We start from the raw sequence: 26,860 nt of genomic DNA on the forward strand, positions 1-26,860 counted from the left end.
GCTGAGGCGGGTGGATCACTTGAGGTCAGGAGTTCAAGACCAGCCTGGCCAAGATGGTGAAACCCCTGTCTCTACCAAAAATACAAAAAATTTGCCAGATGTGGTGGTGCATACTGGTAATCCCAGCTACTCAGGAGGCTGAGTCAGGAGAATCGCTTGAACTCGGGAGGCAGAGGTTGCAGTGAGCTGAGATCGTGCCACTGCGCTCCAGCCTGGGTGACAAAGATAAACTCCATCTGAACAAAAAAGAAAAAGAAAAGCTAAGCATGGACTTAATTTCTCTGAGATTTAAAGCTGCAAAGAGTTGCTCTTCATGAAGTAGATGGGATCTCAGCTGGGCAGTGAAATGTGAGTGGGGTTTGGTCAGCTGGTGGAGGTTGCAGGAAAATTATTTACATAGGTGAAGAGTAAGCGCAATCAGGTATCTAGGAAAGAATGAGGGGTTCAGAGTATACGAAACCAATTTGAGCTATAACACAAGGAGGGTAGGATTCATGTAGAAGAGTTGTAGGAAATATTGCTGATGTAATATTTTGTACTCAAACAGTTCTGTGGATTGGTGACAGATTTTTTTTTTCAGGTAAGTAAACTATTACCCCTGGATATTCATCTTTCTGTGTAGCTGGTTGAGAAACAGGGGAGTAACAGTAAAGAAACTGTTTTAGAATAAATCTGGTGACAGCAGAAGAGAATATGAGACACATTGTGCTCACAGAGCCTAGAAGAGTGTGACAGTAGTTGAGGGCACCGCTGTTGTCTTAGAGTGAAGTGAGGAGAACCTACATTGGTGTGGTAGTCATGGGAGTGGAAGGAGGAATGAAATGTGAAAGCCCATTGGAGGCAGAATCAAAATGCCTTGGTCTTAATAGTCAACTATTAAGGAGAAATTATTGGCTGACTTAGGAAGAAGTGAAAAATGTGAAATACCAATAAAACACCAGGCTTGTGATTTTAGTCAGGGTAAAGCTTAAGCATTGTGTGATTCTAGATAGATTACTGAGGAGTTTTGTTCCATTTATTTTATGTCCATATCTTTGAGCTATGATTCTATCCTTTATTTCTTGACATACCCAAACATTTTTTAAACTATTGTGATACAGCTTTTATATGATAAGTCTCACTCTTTGAAGTGTACAGTTTGGTGGTTTTTAGTATATTCAGAGTTATGCAGCCATTACCACTACCTAATTTCAGAACCTTTTCTTCTCCCCAGAAAGAAACCCCATGCCCATTAGCAGTCACTCTGTATACTCGTCTCCCCCACCGTTGATCCTGGCGACCTCTGATCTAATTTCTGTCTCTGTAGATTTGCCTATCCTGGACATTTCATATAAATAGAATCATACAAAATGTGGCATTTTGTAATTGACTTTTCTTTGAAGTGATTATAAAGCAAATGCCTGAAGAGGCCAAGCTTAGGATAGTGTTTGCTGTACAGCTTTGACAACTGAATTTTTTTTAAGTTGAAAATATTACTGTGTCTGTATATGTGGCATATTATCCTTAGATGACCGTTACTTCAATTATTAGAATTTTTTTCCCTAGTATTCTTGAACTGTCTCAATATTCAGTAGGAACCCTTTGGAGACAAAGAGCAGTAAGAATTTGGAACACATATTGACGAAATGAATGTCATTTAATACAGTAGTAGAGTCGACCACTTTTAGGTGTCAGTGCTGCTGGAAGTGTATATTAAGGAAAAGTTTACTTATCTTACTTATGTAGTGAAGGTACTAGAACTACTTCTGTCTTCTGTTTAGATTTCAACAAACATTTGCATAGGTATTATGCAGTTGTACAAATGTACTGTCTTTTGACCTGAAAATGCAAAAACTTTCTTCCTACTTTCTGAGACTCTGCAACCTTAAAGGAAGAGTGGGGTACTTTAAAGGAAAGGTGGTGTTGGTTGGATAATGGGTGACAATGTCTGCCATATACTTCCTTTTCCCAAAACAAGTTCCTGTCTACCATCAGCATCTCCAAAATTTGAAGATCAAGTGTGGTGTTAACTCATTAACTAAATGACTAGACTTTGAGCAGTTGTGGAACCAAAATCTGAGTGAGTGCCTGGATGTTCTAATTCTGTTAAATCAATGAGTGCACATTATATACAATACTCTCTTAGCCCAGTGGCAGATTTAAGGAGTGAGAGAGAGATTTCAAATGTTTCAGAAATCAAATACACAAAGAATAAAAATTTGTAATCCCATGATTCTTTACCTGAGTTTAATTTTTCGGAGAGTTTTTCTTTTAGATTTTCTTTTCCTTCCATTAAACTTTCACTTTGAAAGCTCCCAGGGTTTGGGCAAAGCAAGTGGGAAAGACACTTGCTTGGATTCTCCAGGGCAAGGGAGTTAAAGAGGGCTTCTTTCCCTCATTTTATTATTGAATAATGTCATGAAAACAATTATTAAGGTGAATGGTCTACAGTAGAAGTTTTTAGATGCCTTCTCTGCAAAATAATTTGGTTTAGTCAATGCAAGGATGCCTTTGGTTAGCTGGAATGGAAGATGCGCAGGCTAGAGTGGTCTTGGCAAGTCTTCTGGGGGGAAATACAGCATTTGGAAGGGTAGGAAGCAGAAGGAATCTCAAGCAAGGGAAAGGTGTGGGCAGAGCCCCGGAGGACAGAACCGTTTGTGGTGGACTTGGTGTCCACATAGATCTAATCAGTGGTCTTAGCTTTTGTGCTTTCAAAATTACCACAGTTTTTGTTCTAAAACTATCATTCCCTTGATTTTACTTTAGGCATGCTATCTGTGTATTTTGAAATTTAAAATAACATTAAAGGAGAAATGAAATTATTTTGTTTGAGAAAGAATTAAAAGGTTAAAACATCTTGATCTAAATAATTTTCTAATGGGAGATTTGGTACATCCCCAGAAGTTGTCTTTGGTTCAGAGAACAGTCTTCAGACCTAGAAAGGACTTGAGGAGTCCCAGAGAGGAGCCACATGGTGTGAACCATTCGATTCTCACAACAGAATGGATAAGAACAATTTCAACCATGAAACCGTGCAGATGTTCATATTTTGAATAGGGTAAGATCGGTGCCATTGTCAGAGGAAAAACTCCTGGCCATCACAGGTTGGGAGAGAAAGTTTCCATTGTAAAGAACACTCAAATGCCATTTAAGGAAATGGGTTCTTCTGCCCTGATTCTTTGGAATATTTAGGGCCACGTTTTTAGTTTTTGACATCATAAAAATTTCAAAGTATTCTGTTCTGATTGCCATTTCAAACAATTGACTGGAATTTCAGAGCAATTTCATAAGAGTAATACCATTAGAATTTTTAAATTACCTATAATCCTATATGCCTAACAAGTATGTTCATGCTTACGTGTTCTCTTCTTGTCTTTACTGTGTGCATACTTTCTTAATAATGCCACATGGAAATTGTTTAAGCAGGAATACTTCTCAAGATAATTTTGTATGTTTCCTTTTTTCTTTTTAAGGTATGTATTGGGTGGAGGAGCATTATGTATGGAACCTCTGGTGATTATTTTATTATTATACTCAATTTTCACCCTCAATAGAGTGTTTTGATTATGTAAGTTAGATCGTAAGTAGACGGTTCTCTTAAAGACATTTTAGTGTTTTTTTTTTTTTTCGTAGCTCCTACTTTCAAGAATGAAAAAGGTATCCCAGCAGTTTGGGAGGCTGAGGCAGGCGGATCACGAGGTCAAGAGATCGAGACCATCCTGGCTAACACGGTGAAACCCCGTCTCTACTAAAAAATACAAAAAAAATAGCCGGGCGTGATGGCGGGTGACTGTAGTCCCAGCTACCCGGGAGGCTGAGGCAGGAGAATTGTGTGAACCCGGGAGGCAGAGCTTGCAGTGAGCTGAGATGGTGCCACCGCACTCCAGCCTGGGTGACAGAGCAAGACTCCATCTCAAAAAAACAAAACAAAACAAAACAAAAAAAACAGAATGAAAAAGGCAAACCAGTAAAATAACATTGTGCTTGGTGCTGAATTTATGCTAGGATAGGCGTTAACAGTGACCTTTATTTAAGGTTTTAATTTGTTCATGTTGGGCACTTAGAACATTGGTTTGTTGTTTTTTTGTGAGATTCTGGAAACGTTCCAATTTTACCTTTTCCCCTTGACTCCAGACTTTTTAACACTGGTCTGCTACTGTTAAGTTATATGCCATTTGGTTAGGCCTTCTCAAGTGGGAACCAGGAACGCTGCTGTGTTCTAGAGATGTTTTGTTCTTCCTGTAGGGCTGAAGCAGTGCCTACTCGATAGAATCAGTCATCATGCAAATAAAAGCCACCTGAGTCAAAGGCAAAGCCAGAGTGCAGCTTGGAGCAAAGAAGGTAATTTTATTAAGAATTTTACATAAACCATAAGATATATTTTATGCTACTTTGTGAGCCTTCTTCCTATCTTAATTCTTTTTGAGAGAATTCATTTCATTTTCATTTGGTTTGTTTTCTTTTTGTTACAAAGATGATCTATAGAACATATAGAAGTATAAGAAAATTAAAGTTACTAACTGATAATCACTTAATGATTTAGTATCTGATTGTTTAGTCTTTGTTATATTTACTGTAGAGAAACATGTCTACAGTTGTAAATTTATTATTGTTATGTATACCATAGTAAAAGTTATATGTACTTTGAAGTTTTGCAAAATTGAGTTCATGTTATAAAATTAATTCCTGATGAACTTTTATGTGCTAGGCACTAGTCTTTTTATTTACTTATTTTTACTTTTTTTGTTTCCCTCTGTGCCTATGCTTACCAAGTCTTTTTATTTTTTACTTTTTATTAGCTCTTTCAGTCCTCTTAATAACTTTAAAAGAGGGTATTATTAATATCTGCATTTTATGGATGAGGCAACTGAAGGTAGGTAACTTGTCCAAAGTCACAGGTGGCAGAGCAAGGATTGGAACCAGACAGTCTGACTGCCCTAGGCCCAACCAAGAGGAGCTGAGAGCAAGCCACGGGGCAGAAGGATGTTGGAGGCTGGTTTTCTGTTCAGTTAACATGAAATGCAGGCTGTAACCGTAATTCCAGGACATTACTGAGAAAGCCTTCCAAAGCCAGAGGGGTTTTTTTTGTTTTGTTTTGTTTTGTTTTCCATGACCATGACTTTTGAGCAAAAATTTGGTTTTGTTTAAAGGCAATATGGTGCTCTAAGAAACTTCCACTCACACTTATGGAGGGAATGGTAGTTGAGCTAAATAGTGAAATGCTGTAGCACACAGCCTTTAGGGCAGCTTCTGACCTATTTCTATGGTCAGGAAAGACACCTATCTTTGCCTGCTGCCCACAGCCTCTAGTTATTCACCTTCAGAATTTCCTAGTCTGTGATCACATTCAGATGAGAGATCCGTTTTGTTTTTTCCAGGGTAGCAGGAAGTGAGTCACCACCTATGCTAAGCAGTCTAGTCTTCTGTGTATAAATGAGCAAGGGTGGGGAGCCAGATCTGAGAACCTTGTGTAATGCTGAGATGCTCCAAGAGAATCCAAGAGGATGTCAGGATTATGCATGGTGGTAAAGTGGTCTCATGTTAGTTGTACCCACAGCTCTCATCAGAAGCAGACACAGATACTTTTTGTAGGAAAACATCTCTAACTTAAGCCTGTAGGATTCCCAAAGATTAAAAGCAGGCAAATATGAATTCAGTCAAATCATAGCATTCAAGTAGTCTCAACCCAACATATTTGAGAATTGTTAGAAACAATGAATATGTTTCCCAAAGACTAGGTTTTGGAATTATCAGATACAGAACACAGACTTCAAATATTAGAATTGTGAGAAAATAGTTACATGTCAAACCTAATATAAAAGAAAGATGGACTCATTAAATTGAGCAACAGAAAGGCCACCAGGAATGAGGAGGAGGACCTGAAAAGAAAATGGATGAACTAGAACTTACAGAAATAAAATATATAGCTGGGTCTGGTGGCTCACACCTGTAATCCCAGCACTGTTTGGGAGGCCGAGGTGGGAGGATGGTATGAGCCCAGGAGTTGGGGAGACAAGCCTGGGCAACATGGTGAGAACTCGTTTCTGTAAAAAATACCCCAACACCACCAAAAAAAAAAAAAAAAAAAAAGTAGCTGGGTATGGGGCACGTGTCTGTAGTCACAGCTAGTCAGGAGGCTGAGGAGGGAGGATCACTTGAGCTCAGGAGGCAAGGGCTGCACGTGCATGCCACTGCAGTCCAGCCTGGGTGACAGAGTGAGACTCCGTCTCAGAATAAAATGAAATAAAGAAATAAAAAATGTAATTGTTGAAATAAAAAACTCAGTGGATGGATTAGACATCAGAAGAAAGAATTAGTTGGTTAGACAATTATCTCCCAAAAGTGAGTCAGTATGTTACACAGAGAGACATGAGGATAGATGATAGGGCAGAAGTTGGTGGGGTTGTAGGGGGAGGGAGATCAGAATGAGGTCTAAAATATGTCTTAGTGGAATCCCAGGAGGAGATATTAAAATTATATTAGAAAGTGAGAGAAATAGAAGTTCTAAAGGCAATAGAAGGAAGTCCACATAAATCAGTCACAACAAATGTAAATGGACTAAAGTTACCAGTTAGGTGGAACTAATAAAAGAATATCCAGCTGTTTTAATCCATCATATTTAAAATATAAGGATATGAGAAGATTGAAAGTTTTTATAAAGGAGAGAGAGTAATGAAGATATGGCAGTATACATTAACCAAAAACAAGTGATGGAGCTTCAGTATCAAAAAAGGATTTTGGAACAGAAAGCATTAGTAAGAAACTTGATGCTGACTGTTAATTAGGAGGATGTAGCAATTTTCATATTTTATGTACCTGTCAAAATAGCCTCAAAATGCAGGAGAAAAACTGATAAAACCACAGGGAGAAATTGACAAGTCTGCCAGCATATTTGGAGATTTCACCATACCCTGCTTACCATAAGTAAGTTACACAGAATGCCCATATGTAGATTTGAATAACCAGTGAATGGACATGGTGTAATGGACAAATATAGGCCTTTGTACCCAATAATTAGATATTCTATATTCTTCTCAAGCATATGTGGACTGTGGGAGAAACATTAATTATATATTAATTCGTAAAGCAAGTCAGAAGATTTAAAAACAATTGGTACCATCCACACCATATAATTTATAATTTAAATATGAAGCAATTAAGGTTAGAAGGCAATAATGAAGAGATTAACAAAAAGCTACATGAATTTGGAAATTAAACACCCTTGTAATTCATGGTATAAAAAACTCAATACAATTTTAGAATGCTTAGAATTGAACCATAGTTAAAATATGAAACTTCTCTCTGTTCCTGTCTCTCTCCCTCTCCCTCTCTCTTCCTATCTGGAACATTCAAGAAGCTAATCTTTTTCAATGAAGAACACCCCAAATACTGAAAAGTAGGAAAAAGACAGATGGCATTTCATGGTAATCCCTTCCCCCAAGAGTGTAGAATGTTTCTTTAGCTTCTTTGATAGTTTGTTTACTTATTTATTAAGTACTTACTATAAACCAGACTCTGCTTTAATTTGTGATGAACAACCTAGAGATTAAGTCCTGCCCTATGGATTTTATATTAGAGTGAGAAAAACAGATAGCTAAGTCTGGAGCTCAGGGGTGAGGCCCAGGTTGGAATTATAGATTCACTTGACCAAGGTGAAACCTGGTGTGCCCCCTCCTACTTCACATCCCCAGACATACTTCTGGAACATTTCTGTTCTATTCTTGTGTATAAACTCTTCCTTTTGAGCCTCTCTCCATTAATGCATGTCAACCTCTACTTGTCTTTTGTTGATTTTGAGGCCACTTGCCCATATAACTTGGAGGATATTGAAGAAGAATCATACCGACCTGGTTCTGCTACCTACCAGCTGAGTTACTTTGGTCAAGCTCTTGGACTTCTGAGGCTGTTTCCTAATTTCAAAAGTGGGTATATGATGTGTTAGGCCCTGGTGGGTTGCAAGGAAGAGGTACACACATACCACCTTTGATGATGAGGGCCGAATGTTAACTTGGATGGAAAGTCATCCAAACAGCGATATTGTCTCTGGCCCTAGTAATTTCAAAACCTCACAGAATATTAATTTAGCAGTATTTAGGATAGGGTTTGAGCTCTGAAGACCTACAGTATGGTTATTTGTTCATATGGCTGTTTTCCATACTAGACCATGAACTCCATGAGGGCAGGGTCTACAGTTTCATCTTTCTCTCCTAGGCACTCAGTTCAGTGCCTGATACATAATAATAGAGGCACAAATGTTTTAAGAGTTGAGGAATTTTCAACTCTTTCTGAAAGAATAGGAAGATATAAAGGCTTCTCAGAGACGGTATTATTTAAGCTGATTTTGTTTTTGTTTTTGAGATGAAGTCTTGCTCTCTCGCCCAAGATGGAGTGCAATGGCGTGATCTCAGCTCACTGCAACCTCTGCTTACCAGGTTCAAGTGATTCTTCTGCCTCAGTCTCCCGAGTAGCTGGGATTACAGGCATCCACCACCACACCCAGCTATTTTTTGTATTTTTAGTAAAGACGAGGTTTCACCATGTTGGCCAGGCTAGTCTCAAACTACTGATCTGAGGTGATCCGCCCACCTTGGCCTCCCAGAGTGCTGGGATTATAGGCATGAGCCACCATGCCCGGCTTATTTAAGCTGATTCTTTAAGGGTAAGTAGAAATTTTTTCCAGGTGAATAAAACCTTGAGCTATTATTCCAAGCAGAGACCAGTAGGTGCAAAGACACAGGGATATAGAGATGTTGAAGTTTACCAAACACTGCTAGATTAAAAAAACAAAAAGGAAACTATCAAAATCAAAAATTAAAATTAAAAATCACCTATAATACAAGCTATGAATGGGCTTGGCCAGAGGTCAGATCGCAACTGAGTTAACTATGACCGTAGACACTCAGTAATCGATGGAAGTTTTAGGGAAAACACATAACATTCTCAGGTTGTTGGCAGAGTATCTGGAACAATTTACAAATACGGGCATTGAATTCTGGGAATAATTACACTGTAGTGATATCATTTCCTTCTCTGCGTATGAAGCATGTATGTATTGCACACTGTTCAAGGTGCTGAAAATCAGACTCTTCTCGAGCAATCAAGGGAGATGGATGGGTGAGCAACTGATTATCATGTGACAAGTGAGGTAACAGAGATATGACTAAGATGGTATCTAAACAAGAAGAAAGGAATTATTCATAATATATGGAGTTCTGGGGAAATATTTCTCAAATGAAGCCGGCCGGGCCGGATGGCTCCCACTTGTAATACCGGCACTTTGGGAGGTGGAAGTGGGAGGATCCAGGAGGATCTAGGAGTTCAAGACCAGCCTGGTCAACAGAGCAAAGCCCTGCCTGTTTCTATATTTGAAAAAAAATAAGTAAATTTTTTTAATGAAATGATATTTGAGCACTCTGGAGCACCATACAAATATAGGACAGACTGAAGGAATGTACCTGGCTTGAGTTAACATTTATTGAAATTTTATATTGCAAAAATAGTACATATTCACTGTTTTGAAACTAGAAAGAATTGATAGGCAAGGAGGGCTGTCTACAAAGCACTCCATAGATCCACCATACTGAGACAATGCTTAATGCTTTGATGGATTTATTGTATACTATCTATGCATATGCATGTATTATATACATACATGTGCATGGTTAAATAGAAATATTTCTCCTTGGTGTTAATCCATTTATTGTTATGCAGTAAATCCCCAAAGAGCACATTTGCTTTGCCCAAGGGAGTCTTTTGCTACATACTGCTGTACATAATGAAAACTAAAAAATTGGCTAACTTTTCAGCCTTGTGACCTTGTGGTGATTCAAATAGAGGCTTCATCAAAGGCAGATTCAGAAATGAACTTGGTATGTGGGTGGTTATGCTTGGCATTATTGTTTGTAATAGTATGATAGGGATGACTTCAGTGTCCACCAACAGGGAACTGGTTAAGTAAACTGTGGTACATCCAAACGATGAATACTGTGCGGTTGTAAAGAAGAATGACAAAGACCTCTGTACTCATGTAGAAGAACTCACATATATTGTGTGTGTTTTAAGAGGAACAAGGAATGGTATAGTATGTATGGTATGCTACTTTTTGTGTTGAGAGAGAAGAGTAGAATAAGAATATACGTGTGTATTTGCAAACATAAATTCTGAAATGATATATAAGAAACCAATTAAAAGTGTTTGGCTGTAGAAGGAGAATAAGACTGTGAATGGGATTTGGCCACATACTTTTATAGGTAGTTATATTTAAAAATTTTCTGAACCATGTGTTTGTACACATGACCTTTTTAAAAATAAGTGAATGAAGGAATGAAGTAGGATTATGAGAAAGAGATAAGAACAAATGATCTAAGGGGCTGCCCATCTTTTTAGTACCCAGTGAATATTAATATATAACAATAGCAGCAAAAATTGGAAGAGTAGCCCCAGGAGGGTAGGGAGTCAGCCTTTCCTTTGTCTTTTCCTCAATTTCATATATTAAACAAAATAATCTGAGAACGATAAAACAATTTGAAATAAAAAATGTCTCCAGATCTCTTAAAAGGAAGCTGGGGCAGCTTTCTGTAGCGCACTTCCCAAAAATGGGCTGATTTACCTCAAGAGGCAGGGATTCTAGCCTACATGGGATACATACAGGAGAAAACAAAATCAGAAAAAGAAAAGATATTTAAATATAAATAAATGAAAATAACAATTCTCCCTCATTATAAAGGAAATCATTCTTTTTGTAATAATTTGGATGACAAATATTAAGAAAAATCTTTAATTTGCCACTCAAAACATTGTGGTTTGTTGCTTTTTATACGTTTTTATGCACATAAACCTTTTAAAAAGTAGAATCGTAGTATGTAGTCTTTTGTCACTTACTATATTTTGGGCATATTTCTGTGGCAGTAAATATATCCTGGCATCATCATTTTTAATAGCTGGATGTATATTAAGTTAATCACTGCCACCCCAGAGGTGAATTTTCTTATACACACATTTTAATGGGCTCGAGCAAACATTTTTGGACTGAATTCATAGAAGTAGAATTTCTGGAGGAAAATAATTTTTAGGGTTTTTAATAGAAATTTTCAAATCATTCTCCAGGAAAAGTGACTCAGGTTATACTCCCACCAACAAGGACAGAGCTCCAGGTTCCCCTTTCCATTTGTCATCTTTCCTGCCTTTATACAGAAAATCTCATTGTTTTCATGACATTTCTTTGATTTCTTGTGCTTTTGAATCTTTGTATATGCCACTGGCCATTTTTATTCTTGTGAGAAGTGCCAGTTTCTCCATTGCCCATTTTCGGTTGAAAATCATTTGTTTTTTTTTCTCAGTAATTTTAAAGATTTCTTTATAGTCTAAGGATACAAGCCTTTTATCTGTCATTGAGGTGACAAAACTTTCTCCCAGTAAGTAATTTGTCATTTCATTTTTTCTTCTTTTCTTTTTCCTTTCCTTTCCCTTTCTTTCTTTTCCTTGTTTCTTTCTTTCTTCTTCTTCCTTCCTTGCTTTCCTTTTCTTTCTTGCTTTCCATTCTTACTTTCTTTTCTTTTCCCTCCCTCCCTCCCTCTCTTTCTTTCCTCTTTCTTTTTCTTTCTCTCTTTTTCTTTCTTCTTTCCCTCTCTCTCTTTCTTCCTTTCCTTTCTTTCTCTTTATTCCCTCCCTCCCTCCTTCTTCCCTTTTTTTTCTTTCTTTCTTTCACTAGCCAAGCTCCAAAGTCACATTTCACTTAATTTTTATCCTGCCAAATTTGAAAGCCTTTTAACTTCGTGATTTTAGTGTAAACAGGAGCAGGAGAAAATGTAATTATCTAAGTCTCGCTGTGTCACCCAGACTGGAGTGCAGTGCCATAATCATAGCTACTGCAGCCTTGAACTCCTCGCCTCAAGCAATTTTCCCACCTCAGCCTGCCAAGTAGCTAGGACTACAGCTGTGTGCCACCACACCCAGCTAATGTTCAAAAATTTTTGTGGAGATGTGAATTCTTTATGCTGCCCAGGCTAGTCTTGAACTCCTGACTTCAAGTAATCCTCCCACCTCGGCTTGCCAAAGTGCTGGGATTACAGGTGTCAGCTCCTGCTCCTGACTGAGAGTTTAGTTTTGTTTGCTAGTGGTGTTCTTGGTATCTTTTCATATTTGAGGTTTTGGGCTAGTGCTGAAGTATTACACTCACCATTCGAGGTCTACAGGACTTTTGGTTTAATATTGAACAGATGGAACTGTTTAGTTCTGCATCTTTGCAGGTATACAGAATGTGCCTACCAGGAATCTGCTTTATATCCATTGAAAGCAAGAAATAATACAGTAAAACTTTGCCTGGCTAGAGGCTTTGAAAGAATGGCGTATTCTGGTTTAATTCTATTACTTTGGAAGTATAAAGGTGAAAAAAATTCAAAACTTAAATTTCCTGTTGAATGCAATTTGAAAATATAGCCAATGATTCCACTTTTCTTCTCTAGTAAGGTTGGACATTCTGATCTACTTGGTGTTTTATTATAGAACTGCTAGTGTGCGTGAGTCTTACATTGTGAAGATACTTTTTTAAAACTTGAGATGTAAGAGGATGTAAACGGTTTTGTAGGAGATCAGGCTGGATGAGAACGGACACTTGTAAACATACTTTTTAGACTAAATCTCTGATTGCCGCTTGTTTTTCTTATGGAACTCATACAAATAAAACACATTGGATGGAGGGTGCGAGTAGGAAGGAGATTCTTGTCTTTTAATTGCATGTCATTGTTTCATAACAAGGCAGAACATATGGTAACCCTGGCTTTGGACCTACAGAAGGAAACACATTTTTCTACCTGCTGTATGCCAGAGGTTCTTGAACACTTGGAGGGATTACTGCAGCACAGATTGCTGAACCCTACTCCAGAGTTTCTGATTCACCAGGTCCAGGGTGGGGCCTGAGAATTTGCACTTATAAAAAGGTCTCAGGTGCTGCTGGTGCTGCTAGTCCATAGACTACATTTTGAGAACCACTCTTGTCTATTAAGTGTAAATTGTAGAACTCTAGAAAAAAGCTTAGTTCAGTCTGGGATAAGAAGCACACAGGTTATGGAGAAAAATCATGAAAGATTCAACCCTTGATCCCAGCCTAGTGTGGATTTCAGGTAACAAGCAGTACACAGTGACATAACACAATTCTTGGTTTTCATGATTGCAAGTCATAGCCAGGTATCAAGTGAGAAATTCAGTTTCATTTGCAAGGCCTAGAGTGGCCTGGTGATTCTAGAAAAATGGGCCTTGTATTTGTTTTAAACCAGTAAAGAGCTTTAAGTGCTTATTAAATTGTAAGTTTTGTGTTCCTACTTATTTTGTATCTTATTTTATTTTATTTTATTTCTTTTGAGATGGAGTCTTGCTCTGTCACCCAGGCTGGAGTGCAGTGGCATGAGCTTGGCTCACTGCAACCTCCATCTCCTGGGTTCAAGTGATTCTCCTGCCTCAGCCTCCCAAATAGCTGGGATTACAAGCACCCACCACCACACCTGGTTAGTTTTTGTATTTTTAGTAGAGACAGGGTTTCTTCATGTTGGCCAGGCTGGTCTCGAACTCCTGACCTCAGGTCATCCACCCACCTCGGCCTCCCAAAGTGATGGCATTACAGGGGTGAGCCACCGCACCTGGCCCAAAAGCTTTGTGTTTTTAAAGATATTAGACATGTTTCTTGTTTTTAAAAGAAATCTTAACAATAATGTAGGAGAATAAGACAAACATTTTTCCAAAAAAGAGAAATTGTTGTGATTATTCTCTGTTATTGGAATGTCGGATACTATAGTCAGCTTCATTAATCATCAAGAATGCTATGGATTTTCCATTTTTATAGGGTCTATATCTCAGTTAAGGTAATACTTGTAATTCTTGTGCTCCATTTGAAGATGAAAAATATAGGCCAAAATCATAGACTTTGCATAGAAGCTGCATAATGAAGACAGCTCTGGAGGAACACATAGATACACACAGACACACATATATAAAGTATATACACATATATTTTTTAAAGTTTATTTTTAACAGTTTTAAAGCTTTTAAAGCAAAAGCCAGCCCCTCCCCTCTCCCAGAGTGGGCGGCCTCTCCCCTCTCTCTGAGTGGGCGGGGACAGCGGTTGCATGGGCAGCTTTCCTTATGATGCTACAGGTCCCTCTGGACATGCTGCGCCTGGCCACGCCTCCTTTCCCTTTCATCTTTCTCACTGACCAATGGGCTTGGAACATTAAGGCCACGCCCCTATTCTGCGTTCCATTGGTGCCCTGGTTACGCCACCTGTGGCTCAGTTGCACAGCTGCCTGGTAGGTGACTGGAGGCATTGAGCAGTGCTCACTGGTATTTCGCTGATGTGGCCCCAACCCCGCCTCCCTCCCCACCCCGCGATGTCAGAAAAAACACAACAGGGGAAATTGGCCGCAGCCAAGAAAAAGGTAAAACACACCAGGTCATGGCCCCCAACCCAGCCACAGATCCCCTCCGATGACAAGACCGGTGCCAGAGTCCATACCACTCCTGAGGCATACCAGATGGGGCCCCCCAACCCCAGCCCCTCTGGGCTCCCCCAACCAAAGCCTAGTCAGTCAGCCCCACCCCTTCAGCAAGCAGCCCAGTCCCTGCCCTTGCCAATCACCCCAGGGTGACTTTGGGCAGGTGACTCCTGGGGCTCCCTGCTCCATAATCAGCCCTCACCTCCTGCCACCCCAAGCCCAACCTCCCTGGGCTCTTTGGGCTTGCGTCTCCCAGGACCTGGGTCCCCCAGCCCCAGGCCCTGCCCTCACCAGTCATCCCTGGGTGGCTTTGGGCTGGTGACTCCCGGGGCTCCCTACTGCAGACTCTGCCCTCCCCTCCTGCTGCCCCAAGCTCGACCTCCCTAGGCTTCTTGGGCTGGCGTCTCTGAGGACCTGGGTCGAAACCGTGTGTTTCCCTCCCCCATCGTGGAGCAGCGACTCGGGCATCGCGCTGATGTGGTCCCCTCCCCTGGGAGGAGTGGAATGCAATGATGTCACAGTGCCCCTAGGAACTGTCATTACTGCTGCAAGACCGGCCTTTGATCTTACAACCCAGTCCCCTAAGTTTTCTCACCCCATTTCTGGTTCCTCTGGTTGCAGCACAAATTTCCAGCTGGAAGGGGAGTGGAGACTATGGGACCTAGGAGCAAGAGGTTTCAGGCTGCCTTACTCCCTTAACATAGACATTGACAGTGGGAAAAGCCTACACTTCCCCTGTGAGCTCAAAATGTTCACAGTATCTCTGGGTGGCAATGGGAGAATGGGTTTGGTTTGGTTTTTTCCCAGGCTTCTACTTTCCAGAGAGACTTTAACATTTTTTTCTGAGTTCTCCACGGTTCTGGGACCAGACTGCCCTTCAGTCAGTGGCCTCTGAAGTGAGATTTGCTCATCTTCTGTGGAATAGATCTTGGGAAACTGAACTTGACAGCTTGAATCTTCCTCATATCGTCTCAACCTGGGGTACTTTGAGTGCCACAGGATAAATGCGGGACATCTTTCTGAAGCATCATTTTCCCTTGATTCTCTTGAGAAAATGCATTAATGTACTTAGGGATGACAGACACATAGGTTTCCAAGCGTATACCAGACTTCGCTCTGAAATGAGGCTTGGGTTGTCCTCTTTCTGATAAATTCCCAGATTTAATAGAAAAGCTGCCTTCTGCCATGAGGACACATTGATATGAAAGTGTGAGAGGTACTGGTACGCTTCTTCACGCTAGCAGACCTGTGAGGATGTATGACTCTAAACCACACGGCCTACAGTTCCTGCCTGCTTAATGTGTGCTTTTCTACCTCTGCCCCTGGTTTTGGTCCCTGGAAGCTGCTGATTCATGGCAAAACCCCAGAGCTTGGAGTCAGAGGACTGAGTTTAAGTTCCAGTATTGCCTTTTTTGATCTTTCTTTTTTTTTTTTTCTATCCATGATATCAATCCCTCTCAGTCACTAAGTGATTGTGACAACACCTTGTACAGTTGTTGGTGGCATTACATCAGATGGTATATAAGGGTATTTTGTCAAAACTGTAAAGGAGGATGTGGCTGTAGGGGCTGATCATTCTCATGAGTGTTACTGCTCTTCTTTCCCACAGTTAAAAGCATATTGGCAGAGGAAGAGCCCTGGCATTCCAGCAGGAGCTAACAGGAAAAAGAAAATCAATGGCAGTAGCCCTGACACATTCACTTCTGGTGGTTACCACTCACCTGGGGATGTGAGTCTCGGCGGGCCAGGCTCCTGGGGACAGGGAGCCCAAGGGGCAGTAGAGGGTAATTGTTAAGATTGTAGATGGACTGTTGGGTACTGGTTAAGAATTCTGGATTTGAATCCTGCCTCTCCGTCTGCTAAGAATTGATTAGGGATTGATTAGCATATGATTTAGGGCAAGTTGCTTGAGGTCTTTGGGCCTCTCTTTTCACATCTGTATAATAGAGGTGGTATTTTTTGACTTCCATTTGTGAAGTTTAAATGAGATTCGTTATTGTTGCTTTTATGTGAATCCTTAGTACATGGCCTGCTGCAAACACCCAGGACACCGAGGAAATGGTCGTTGCTGTTTGATTTTCCTCATCCCCAGTCTCAAGGGGAAGCCAGGCCAATGAGAAGAGCCACTTGCCATCAGGCTGTCCCTTTAGGAGTCACTGAAAGGGCCCCAGGGTGGGATGGTGGGGAGATAAGAACCACGAGAGAAGTTGGCACAAAGGAGTTATGGGAAAAAGGTTCCAAGATAGGCAGAAAAGAAGCTTTTGCCAGTTGATGGGGGAAGAAAGGAAGTCAGAGGGCTTAGACAGTGAGGGGGGACAGAACATCTCCATGTGCACTCTCATCTCTTGGAGTCAGCAACAGGTATCTACGGGGAGGGCCGTGCATCCTCTACTACCCTGCAGGATCTGGAGGTAAGAGGCCCTGGGCCGAGGTGCAGTGACCCTGCAGGCCAGCCCTCCAACCTCCTCCCACAGCAGGGGCTTGTTGCCCCTCTGCCAGCTGAGGCAGCCCACACACCCCCACCAGCCCTAATGATTATTCTCTCTACCCCTCCCCACAATCTTTCTCCAACTCCTTCTCTCTGCATGCACCTCAGAGCCAGTACCAAGAACTAGCAGTAGCCCTGGATTCAAGCTCCGCAATAATCAGTCAACTCACTGAAAACATCAATTCACTGGTAAGAGTCCAGTGGGGTCCCCTGATTACAGCTGGTCAATCCTGGACTCCAGTTTCCTCTTGGGGCCCTGAAGAAAGGGGCTAGGGGCCCCTGATGCCAAGGGCAAATGGGGAGCTGGGCACCCAGGTCTCACCTGGAGGGACCCCAGAGCACAGAACATGCAGCATGGCTCTTCTGCACTGCCCTCTTTGCTGACTCTCTCTTCTCCAGACACCCCTGCTCTAGTCCTTGCCACACATGCCCTGGGGTTGTCACCTCTCTGGGAAGCACTAGCCTGACTGGTTGTCAGAGGTCCATATTCCTGCCCTGCCTCAGTCCCTAATTTGCTTTTTGAGTCTGGACAAGCCATCTCTCCTCTTTATGCTCGTGTTTCTGGAGGAGGTAGAGAGTATCAAAGGTCTCGGTTAGCTCTGAAAGTCAGAGATTTAAAGGCCCCTAGAATGGAAAGCTCAGGGCGAAGGGCTCCTGTCTGTCCTTTGCTGTTTTATATCTCTGCTATGAAGAACTGTACCTGGCCTGTACATGCTCAGTAAATGTTTGTTGAATGAATGCACGTTTCTAAATCACAAACTGGCAGAAGGGGGGTGGGCCTTTCTCAAACTCTGTCTCTGGACGTTCACCAGCCCCTCCCTCCAGTACCCTTTTCCCCCTTTGCTTTGGGCAGGTTCGCACATCTAAGGAGGAGAAGAAGCATGAGATACATCTGGTACAGAAGCTTGGGAGGAGCTTGTTCAAACTCAAAAACCAGACGGGTAAGATGGGGCTGGCATGACCTGGCAGCTGGACTGGCATTAGAGGGCTGTGGGGGTGACTTAGAATGCCCCAGGGAGGTGGGTGGATGGAAGGGCTTTGAGGCAGAGGGAAAGAGGTCTGTGCCAGGGGAGGACAAGTCTTGTCATCTCCATGAGCCTCAGTGTCCCCATCAGTAAAGAGGGAGGAGTGCCCATTGTCAGCCACCCACAGTGCTCTCTATCTGAAAGTGACTTGGAAGATTGTCTACCATCCGGGTGTGAGGAGTCATTAGCAGTGAGGCCAAGTTTGGGAAGCCTGAGAGGAGGAGCTGTGCACCAAAGGGAGGATTTTTTTTTTTTTTTTTTGAGAATCCAGAGGCCCTTATTCTCTGCTTGCTTTCTCAGCTGAACCCCTGGCCCCACAGCCCCCAGCAGGGCCATCTAAGATGGAGCAGCTACAAGATGAGACCAACCACCTAAGGAAGGAGCTAGAGAGTGTGGGAAGACAGCTCCAGGCTGAGGTGGAAAACAATCAGATGTTGAGTCTCCTGAACAGGAGACAGGAGGAGAGGCTACGTGAACAGGAGGAGAGGCTACGTGAACAGGAGGAGAGGCTGTGTGAACAGGAGGAGAGGCTGTGTGAACAGGAGGAGAGGCTACGTGAACAGGAGGAGAGGCTGTGTGAACAGGAGAAGCTGCCAGGGCAGGAGAGGCTGCTGGAAGAGGTGGAGAAGCTGTTAGAACAGGAGAGGCGGCAGGAGGAGCAGGAGAGGCTGCTGGAGAGGGAGAGGCTGCTGGACGAGGTGGAGGAGCTCCTGGAGCAGGAGAGGCTTCGGCAACAGGATGAGAGGCTGTGGCAGCAGGAGACTCTGCGGGAGCTGGAGAGGCTGCGGGAGCTGGAGAGGATGCTGGAGCTGGGGTGGGAAGCCCTGTACGAGCAGCGGGCCGAGCCACGCAGCGGCTTCGAGGAGCTGGTGCGTTGCCCCACCTGGGGAGGCTGCCCTCTTCCCTAGCCCTCAAGGCCTTTGTTTCCCCACCTGTAAAATGGGGCATTGTAGCCTTCACATGAAATGGTACTTCTAAAGGCATCTGTGAGCCAGAGCCCTGCTCTGATGGCTGTGGGAGAGAGGGGATATTTTTCTAACCTGCCTCCACCCTTCCCGGTGCCATGGGAGGCAGACACTAAGTTCTGGGGTCTCCAGTTTTAGTGGGTGGCCACTGATTGCTTCTTTCTGTCCAGAACAACGAGAACAAGAGCACACTGCAGTTGGAGCAGCAAGTAAAGGAGCTGGAGAAGTCGGGTGAGCTGAAAGAGACTGTAACCTCCGACCCATCCAAGAAGATGTGGGAGGCGGGCACCAGCCTCTGGGGAGGGGAGGTGCCAGGCCACAGGCAGCTGCAGCCTGGGGACAGGTGACCCCAGCACCCTCCGGGGCAGTCCTATGACTGTTTCTTGCTTCCTGCCCTCTGACTTTTAGAGGTGGGTAGCCCTGGGGTCCTCCCAGGTCTGGACATCATCATCCCAGCTAGAGGCATGGAGCCCCCCAATCACAGAGGAAGAGACAGTGGTATAAGAGGCTCCTTATGTCGGGTGTGGTGGCTCATGCCTGCAATCCCAGCACTTTGGGAGGCTGAGGCAGGACAATCACTTGAGGTCAGGAGTTTGAGACCAACATGGCCAACATGGTGAAAGCTCATCTCTACTAAAATTAAAAATAATAATAATAATTAGCCAGGCCTGGTGGTGCATGCCTGTAATCCCAGCTACTCAGGAGGCTGAGACACGAGAATCACTTGAGCCCGGGAGATGAAGGTTGCAGTGAGCTGAGATTGCACCACTGCACTGCAGCCTGGGACACAGAGTGACACTCTCTCAAAACAAAACAAAACAGAAAAACAAAAAAGCCTCCTTAGATTCAAACTGGATTCCGGCCTCGGTTCCACTGGTCATAATTCAACTACTTTGCATCTCTAAGTCTCTGTTTCTTTAACTTCAAAAGGAAGTTAGCCTTTTCCTTGCAGAGGTGCTGAGGATTAAATGAGGTAATACGTGGAAACATTAGGCATGTAGCACACTTAGCAGATGGTGGTTGGCTCCGCCTGCTTTTCCACCAGTCTGTGGCCTACAGTTTACATGCTGGGAAAAAGGACGTGAGATTTGATGCTAGGGAAGGAGGCATGGGGTTCTAAGCAAGGGAGACAGTCTCTTAGGCCTGGAGCAAGGGGCCAGGGGCCTGGGCAGGCCACAGAGCCCCACAGTGCCCTCGCTACCCTATTAATGGGCCAGGAATCTGGAAGCCAGCCACCACATGTCCTCATGCCCAGGGTCTTCCGGCAGGTGGAGCTGAAGAGCCAAGAGGCTCCGAGTCTGCAGCAGCAGCCAGACCAGTAGCTGGAGCCCCAGTCCCACAAGGAGCTTGGATGTGCGGACAAGCAGGGTGGTGAGTAGAGCCCTCAGGCGGGGTGGGCAGGCAGGAGCAGGGGAGGCTCGCACTGTGCCCAGATTCCCACCCCCTCCCTCTCTCTGAAGATCTTAGTGAGCTGAGCCTCACTGATAGCATGGAGGCTGCACCGGGAGAGGACAGGGAGGGTTCTCCCCCATGACAACCCCACTGCACAGCAGATCCAGCAGCTGCTTCCTCTAATGCAGGACTCCCCAGGAGCACCCAGGCTTGAGTGGAGAAGCTGTTGGTACAGGAGAGGCGGCAGGAGGAGCAGGAGAGGCTGCATGCCATTCTTTTCGGGCTGCCGAGAACAGGGAGCTAAACATCACCATCATCTAAGAGCGGGTCAAGAAATTGAAAAAAAAAAACAAAACATTTAAGGGGTTAATATCCTACACAATTCATTTACTTCATTTGAATGTTAGAGCCACTTATGTTTGTGTTTCTAATTTATAGTTTAAATTTATTTGTGTTTCTAATTTATAGTTTAAATTTATTTGTTTCTAATTTATAGTTTAAATTTATTTGTGTTTCTAATTTATAGTTTAAATTTATTTTTGTTTCTAATTTATAATTTAAATTTATTTGTAAAAAGTTAAATGAGAGTGGGTCTTTCTCTCATGTTCACTCTGGCATCTTTTAGCATTTCTTTAATTTGATAATTATAGGACGTTAGCATGCATATCGAGTTTGCCCTTATGTGGTGGGAGTTCAAACACACAAAGACCCACTGTATGCACACAACTGTTCTTGCTGGTTTGGGATAGGCTGCCATGCTTTTTTAATGTTAGTACAGCCTGTATATTCATTACGGAATTCAGATAAAATTTCCTTATGTTCTGCTGTTATGTTTGATCGAATCCTAATCACAGTGAGCTCTTCATTAGCTCAATATGTGGTTTGCCCTCTGGAAACAGCCTTTCCCCCTTTTTCTGTGTATTGGGGATGGGAGTAATAACATTTTGGGGAGGTTTTTAAATCTCCCAGAAGAGGAAAGTGGCCTGCTTTGGCAGGTGTGTGCAGGATAGAATATGTTTCATTTGTTCCGGTGCCAAGAATGAGCGCTGTACTACGGTAGTTCCCTTAGGATTTGTATGTGCTCTAGGCTCATGAAGATACTGCCTCATGAGCTGTGGCAGTTGTACTCTTTTTTGATGACCTGAAAAGGGATTATTTCTGAGGAATGAAAGGCTCCCATCATGACTGTGGATGTGGAAAACCTTTTCTAGCTGAGAGCATTTATATCTACAATACATTTTAAAGTCAGAGTTCATGTTCCCTGTTTTAATCACATGACTACATGTCCCAGTACACAAAAGGGCACTGGTTGGCGTTCTCCTTAATGTATTTAGTAAAGATCAGAAGAAATCCTTTAAGAGTTTAAATGCCCCTGGAACAGGCATATACAGGCTCTAGTCAAGAATGAATTCGAGTGAAGGAAAGCTGTGTGACACCTGGCATTCCTCTGTGTTCATGGAGCTTATTTGAGGCTAGAAGATGGATTTTACCATCTAGACCTCTCTGGCTAATAGCTAGTCTTCAACCATCTGACATAGGAATTTACTTCTTTTCCTTGAATGGAGAACACTTTAAAAATAATAACAAACATTATTATAAACTAATATATGTGAGAGTACTTAGTTGAAACAAAAAGGAGTTTTAGTAGACAGTATTATACTACATTTGAAAATCAAGGAGCAGTTTATGCAACGTAAAACGTTTACAAACTGCAGCACAATCTACTGTTCGTGAATGTCAAAGTGTCATGAGGAAAGTGTCTATACAATCACAGAGTTATATTTCCTCACAAAGTTCTTTACAAAGAGTGAAATATGTTTTTATACCTCTCAGTTTCAGTTAGAGGCATATTTTGTGTAATATTTATGGCTTAAAATGGACTAAAGGTCCTGTTCTTGCCTTGTCTGAACTTGCCGCTTTTGCATTCTTTGAGTTCAGTTTAAAGACAGTTACTTTAAGCCCATTTTAAACCCTCAGGCTAGAAATCGTACCACTGTTAATTAGCCACATTATTTGGTCTAACAGTTTATCATTCTGAAACTGAGCTTACCTAATACATTGATAAATTATTTCAAAGGTATTTTTATAGTTCAAATCGCTTCACTTTTACCCTGACACGTATAAATGACTAGGAATGACCTTCAGATAGCATTTAGCAACTGTAACCAATCTGACAATAATGTGTTCATCAGGTACCTGTGGATTAAATCACATACTGGCATATTTAAGCTGAATGTCAGTCTGAAAAATAAATGTACTATATTAACTCAAATACCACTCTCTGTGTAGGTATTTTGTCATATGTTTAAGAAAAAGCTAAAGAGAATGGAAATCCTATGACAATAACTATGACAATAACTATGACAAGTCTTTCTTCAAAGTGCATGCAGTCTTTTGCAGTACCTCATTCAGCCAAGTATTTGTTCTCTACCTCATTCAGTATAAGGCAGCCTTTAATTTGCTTAGAAGGCAACATTAGAAGGTTAGAGTTCAGCAGGAACATAGAATTTTAAAATGTGACTTCAACTGAATAAATTTGAATTTCTGTAGGGAGTAAAGAATCAAAACACCTATTTAAAGACTGCAAAATATGATAATTATTTTTAAAGTAATTGATTAAACCTGGTAGGTTTTCCCAAAATGAAAAACAATCAGTTCTAAAACCAAAGCTGATTTTTAGAAAATGTGAAAATGTAAATCAACCCTATCCATAATAGATTCTCTAAAACTTTATCTTACAGTCACTTTCAAATAACTATTCAAAAATGTAACTGCTATATTAACGTCTTAAAATAATTTAAAACATTTTAAAATATGAATACTGTAGTTTAAAACAAAGAATCTAGGGGAAGGAAAAGTAGACAAAGAAATGCCAATTCCAGTCCAAAGCTGTATTTGCCAAGTTTTCTTAGAATGACTTTTACCGATTTATGAATTCTTATACACAGAATGCATAATGGAAATACTGATTTTTGTCTAAAGTGGCATTATTGACTGCTGCTGTGATGCTACTATAATGTAATACATTATTAAATTGTTTCAAGGTGCTGTTTTGCCTAAAAATTTTGTGTGTCTTGAAAACTATAGTACTGGGTATTGAGACTCTGCAAATTCTCGGCATGCTTGGCATGAGGTAATCGGTTTTTATTCTTACAAAATTGTAACTATGTAAGTGTGTTTATTAAAAGAACACAAACTAAAAAAGTTAACAGGAATTAAAGTTGTGGGATGAAAAAGTTACAGGATAAAAAAATACTGTGGAAAAGTGGCAAAAAAAAGTTGTGGAAAAAAAGTAAAAAAAAAGTTTTATGAAAAGTTATTTTAAAAAGTTATGAAAAATTAGTTACAGGATTTAAAAAAAGTCATGGGATAAAAATAAAAATAAATAAAAGCAGGCCCCTGTCAGCATAAGCCTGGAGAAGTGGGTCTGGAGTCTTCACCCCCACCATGTCCCTACAGCCCCTCCCCAGTCAGCCCTTTACCATTAGGGTAGCAAGACAAGACCCTTGTCTAATGGAGGGAGACAAACAGACCCTTTACCACCTTGACCAAGGCTGAGTCCTTACATTTCTGGATGATGATGTTTGTTATTTAAGAGCCAGAGGTTGGTGGAGTTGGTTTGTTTGGAGGAGGTCTGATGGCCTTCTTACTCTCACCAAAGCAACTTTTCCCTCAGGGGGGCTCCCATCTTCTTACTCAGAGAGGCAGCTGAGGCGGGACAGTGGAGTTAACTGTAGACCAGGCCAGGGCACAGGCTGCTGGGGGTGGCCCCCCTTCCCCCGTGTACATACTGTAGCTGTGTAACATTCTGTATTGTACCTAGCGGAGGTTGCAGCTGGCATATGAGGAAGAGGTTCTTATAATTATTCGCGGCTGGGAAACTTATTTATTGCTAGCATAGGAGCGAGGAAGGAGGCGGGGATGGGGTCATGGCTCCCTGGTGATGGGACTCCTGTTTTTTTTTTTTTTTTTGCTTTTGATTTTGGAATAAATGGATTTAGCCATACTGCTCGGCCTGGTATGTTCCCATTTCCCTCACTGGGTCCTGCAGTTTGTCCCACTGAATGAGGAGCCCCAGAGTGTCTCAGCATGTCCAGCTGGGCTGTTGGGGACCTTCCAGGCCTGTTACCTGTATGCTGCCTGGTGACACCTGGTGGATTTCATGGGGACTGCCATGGCGCCTACGGAGTACACTCTGGCCCTGACAGCCAACTGGTTGAGAAGCCTGATCTAGCTGTGGCAGGGAAGACAGATACCAGTGCCCAAGGGCACTGACTTCCATCCACCCCAGGTGTCTTCCGTTCTGTCCCCCTGCCTCCCTCTCCTGTCTGCACCGGGTGGCCTGTCTGTCCCTCCAGAGTGCCGGCTGCCCCGCAGGTTCCCTCCAGGCTGAGTTCAGGGCCCTGTCCCCTAGTGGCCAGAGCCGGCTTCACAGGGTAAGAGCCAGCTAAGCTCCAGGGACTTTCCAGGAAAAGTGTCCCTTGAAAAGGGTGTGACCTTTTCACTGCTCCCAACAGCACCCTAAAAATGGCTTGGCCTTTTCCCTCCCCTGAGCTCCATAGAGAACACAGCCAGCAGAGGACACATTCTCTGTCATCCAGAAATGGGTTTCTCAGCCGAGGGACAGCAGGACTGGTAGAGACTGTCAGGCCACACAGCTGCCTGCACAGCACCGCCATGCTTGGCCAGAAGGGCGGGAGGGATGGCGGGGGCTGGCTGTCCACAGGCCGCGCATGTCCCGGAAGCTCACTGGAGGTGGTGCACTTTGGAGGGGCGATGTCAGGAGACAGCTTCCTCTTGCTGGGCTACAAGACTCCACAAACACAGCACGGGGACTGATTCCCAGTGCTAGAGGCGAGGCAGTTGGCCACGTATATATATGTATATATGTGTGTGTGTGTGTGTGTGTGAGAGAGAGAATTTATAGCTATTTATAGAACAGGGCAGGGGCATACCACAGAGGGGGCACAAGTTTCAGCAACGGTCAAACCTGGACGTGTCAGCTCACCACTACAACAGACTAAGTCACAGAAGAAGGGGGCTGGCTTTGGGGCTGGGGGAGCCACTGTCAAGTCACAGGACACCCACCCAGGCAGGCTTGGAAAGGGAGGTCTCTGAGAAGAGGAGGAATCTGTTTAGAGGTCGAAGTGGGGCCTGGGGCTCCCCGGATGGGATGGACTTGCCTGACCCAATCAGCTGGCAGTTGGAGAGAAAGCAGAGAGAAAACGGGTTAGAGAAAAGCCAGAGCTGGTGAGGCAAGTGCAGAGTATGGGTGCGCTGCAGCAGCTGTGGAGGGCCGGGGAGGGGAGGGCGTAGGTGTGGGCATGGCAAGGTTCCTGGAAAAGAGGGGCTGGAAGAGAAAGGGGAGGAAGATGGAGGGAGAAGCCGGAGCTTCATAGGTAGTGCCTGGGGACTGCGGCGGCCCTCCCCACCCCACACACGCTGGCCTCTTTCATGGCACCCAGGCAGTCCACCCATAGTTCAGATGAATGCTCAGCCCCCTCGGGCTTCTCTCTTCTCTGGTCACCCTGTCTTCCAACTCACGGCCCAGGGCCACCTCTTGCTTGGAGAGCCCCATCCAACAGCCACCAGACCTGATAGAGAAGGAACACTGATTGAACCAAAATGGTGGAGCTATAAGGGATGGCTGGCTGGAGTGAATGCCAGAGGCCCCTCTGGGCCATCAGAAAGCCCAGGGTCCTCTGAGGGACCCTGGGGAAGGCAGGGAGGGCAGGTAGCCAGATGCCATTGGCCATAGACTTCTAAGTCTAACAGGGCAGCCTCAACTGGTTGGCGGGGGGCTGCAGGTTACATAGGTGAGGCTGGGCCCTTCCTGCTGGGAAAAGCAGAAGAGGGAGACTCCACGGCAGGAAAGGGAAGTGAGCTCTCTAGGTGGAGCTCAGCTGGGCCAGCAGCACTATTGGCTGAATAGCACAGGCGACCCCTAGAAGCAACAGGCCAAGGTGCGTGAGCCTGCTGGCCAGCAGTAGTGCTTCAGCAGGGGCCAGGGACCCTGCCTTCAGTCGCACGCTAGCAGCTATCATGGTACCTGGGAGGGAGGGAAGGGGGCTGTGTGTCCTTCCATGGCCTATGAAGTGTGTTGTGGGATGACCGCGTGTATAGGACTCTCAGGCTTTTATCCTAGATCACCACTGGATTGCTGACAGATAGAGGACGTGGGACCGTGACTATCACCCCTAATCTGCAGTGGATTTGGCTCTTGGCACTCCCAGGCTGGGAGCTGGATACCTGCCCTGGCAGCATGACTCAGACTGCATGACAGGTACGGCGTGCCCAGGATGATGTGCCCAGGCCTCTGGCCGCCTGAGTCCAGCCCCCCACACAACCCCCTCCAAGCTCCCAGCCCCTACACCATAAACCATGAGCTCTGTGCCCTCTCTGATGGTTCCACATCTGCCACCTTCGGCATGGAGCCTGTTGTAAGAGCCCCCAGGCTCAGCCATGGAGACCTTGAGCAGTGGCACTGAGTCCCGTGGCTCACAGGGAGCAAAGTGAGACAGCCAG

At 43.4% G+C, this 26,860-nt stretch overlaps 1 protein-coding gene and 1 pseudogene across 5 annotated transcripts, besides 2 other annotated features; one reads left to right on the plus strand and one right to left on the minus strand.

Moving 5' to 3' along the window:
• Nucleotides 1-167: 167 nt before the first annotated feature.
• GOLGA6L9 (golgin A6 family like 9) lies at nt 168-23,398 on the plus strand. 5 transcript variants are annotated; one of them, XM_047432539.1, is made up of 9 exons: nt 168-3,037; nt 3,613-3,710; nt 4,225-4,320; nt 16,075-17,142; nt 17,807-17,894; nt 18,279-18,847; nt 19,114-19,174; nt 20,212-20,314; nt 20,524-23,398. In XM_047432539.1, exons 6-9 carry the CDS (start codon nt 18,320-18,322, stop codon nt 20,654-20,656), a joined length of 825 nt encoding a protein of 274 aa, XP_047288495.1. In that variant the 5' UTR covers nt 168-3,037; nt 3,613-3,710; nt 4,225-4,320; nt 16,075-17,142; nt 17,807-17,894; nt 18,279-18,319; the 3' UTR covers nt 20,657-23,398. The 5 variants fall into 5 exon arrangements, with proteins under 5 accessions (XP_047288495.1, NP_937824.3, XP_011519903.1 ...); NM_198181.4 differs by lacking the exons at nt 168-3,037; nt 3,613-3,710; nt 4,225-4,320 and adding an exon at nt 14,061-14,408 and having other exon boundaries at nt 16,075-16,194; nt 16,817-16,876; nt 17,062-17,142; XM_011521601.3 differs by lacking the exons at nt 168-3,037; nt 3,613-3,710; nt 4,225-4,320 and adding an exon at nt 14,061-14,408 and having other exon boundaries at nt 16,075-16,194; nt 17,062-17,142.
• Nucleotides 24,249-25,240: an enhancer, noted in NCBI's record as "H3K4me1 hESC enhancer chr15:83006785-83007776 (GRCh37/hg19 assembly coordinates)". NCBI's record gives its function as "activates a minimal SCP1, AML or CMV promoter by ChIP-STARR-seq in primed H9 embryonic stem cells {active_cell/tissue: H9 hESC(primed)}" and the evidence as "EXISTENCE:reporter gene assay evidence [ECO:0000049][PMID:30033119]".
• Nucleotides 24,518-25,020: an enhancer, noted in NCBI's record as "H3K4me1 hESC enhancer chr15:83109001-83109502 (GRCh37/hg19 assembly coordinates)". NCBI's record gives its function as "activates a minimal SCP1, AML or CMV promoter by ChIP-STARR-seq in primed H9 embryonic stem cells {active_cell/tissue: H9 hESC(primed)}" and the evidence as "EXISTENCE:reporter gene assay evidence [ECO:0000049][PMID:30033119]".
• On the minus strand, nt 24,922-25,978 carry DNM1P36 (dynamin 1 pseudogene 36; annotated as a pseudogene).
• Between the last annotated feature and the right edge of the window lie 882 nt (nt 25,979-26,860).

This window comes from Homo sapiens, chromosome 15 (assembly GCF_000001405.40).
Source record: "Homo sapiens chromosome 15, GRCh38.p14 Primary Assembly".
Lineage (NCBI taxonomy): Eukaryota > Metazoa > Chordata > Mammalia > Primates > Hominidae > Homo > Homo sapiens.

Bases quoted from the DNA above. Each gene is read 5' to 3' on its own strand.
- GOLGA6L9 (NM_198181.4), top strand. From the start codon at position 14,325: ATGTGGCCCCAACCCCGCCTCCCTCCCCACCCCGCGATGTCAGAAAAA. The intron at 16,877-17,061 runs GTAAGAGGCCCT...CATGCACCTCAG, and splicing joins CTACCCTGCAGGATCTGGAG to AGCCAGTACCAAGAACTAGC. The intron at 17,895-18,278 runs GTAAGATGGGGC...TTGCTTTCTCAG, and splicing joins CAAACTCAAAAACCAGACGG to CTGAACCCCTGGCCCCACAG.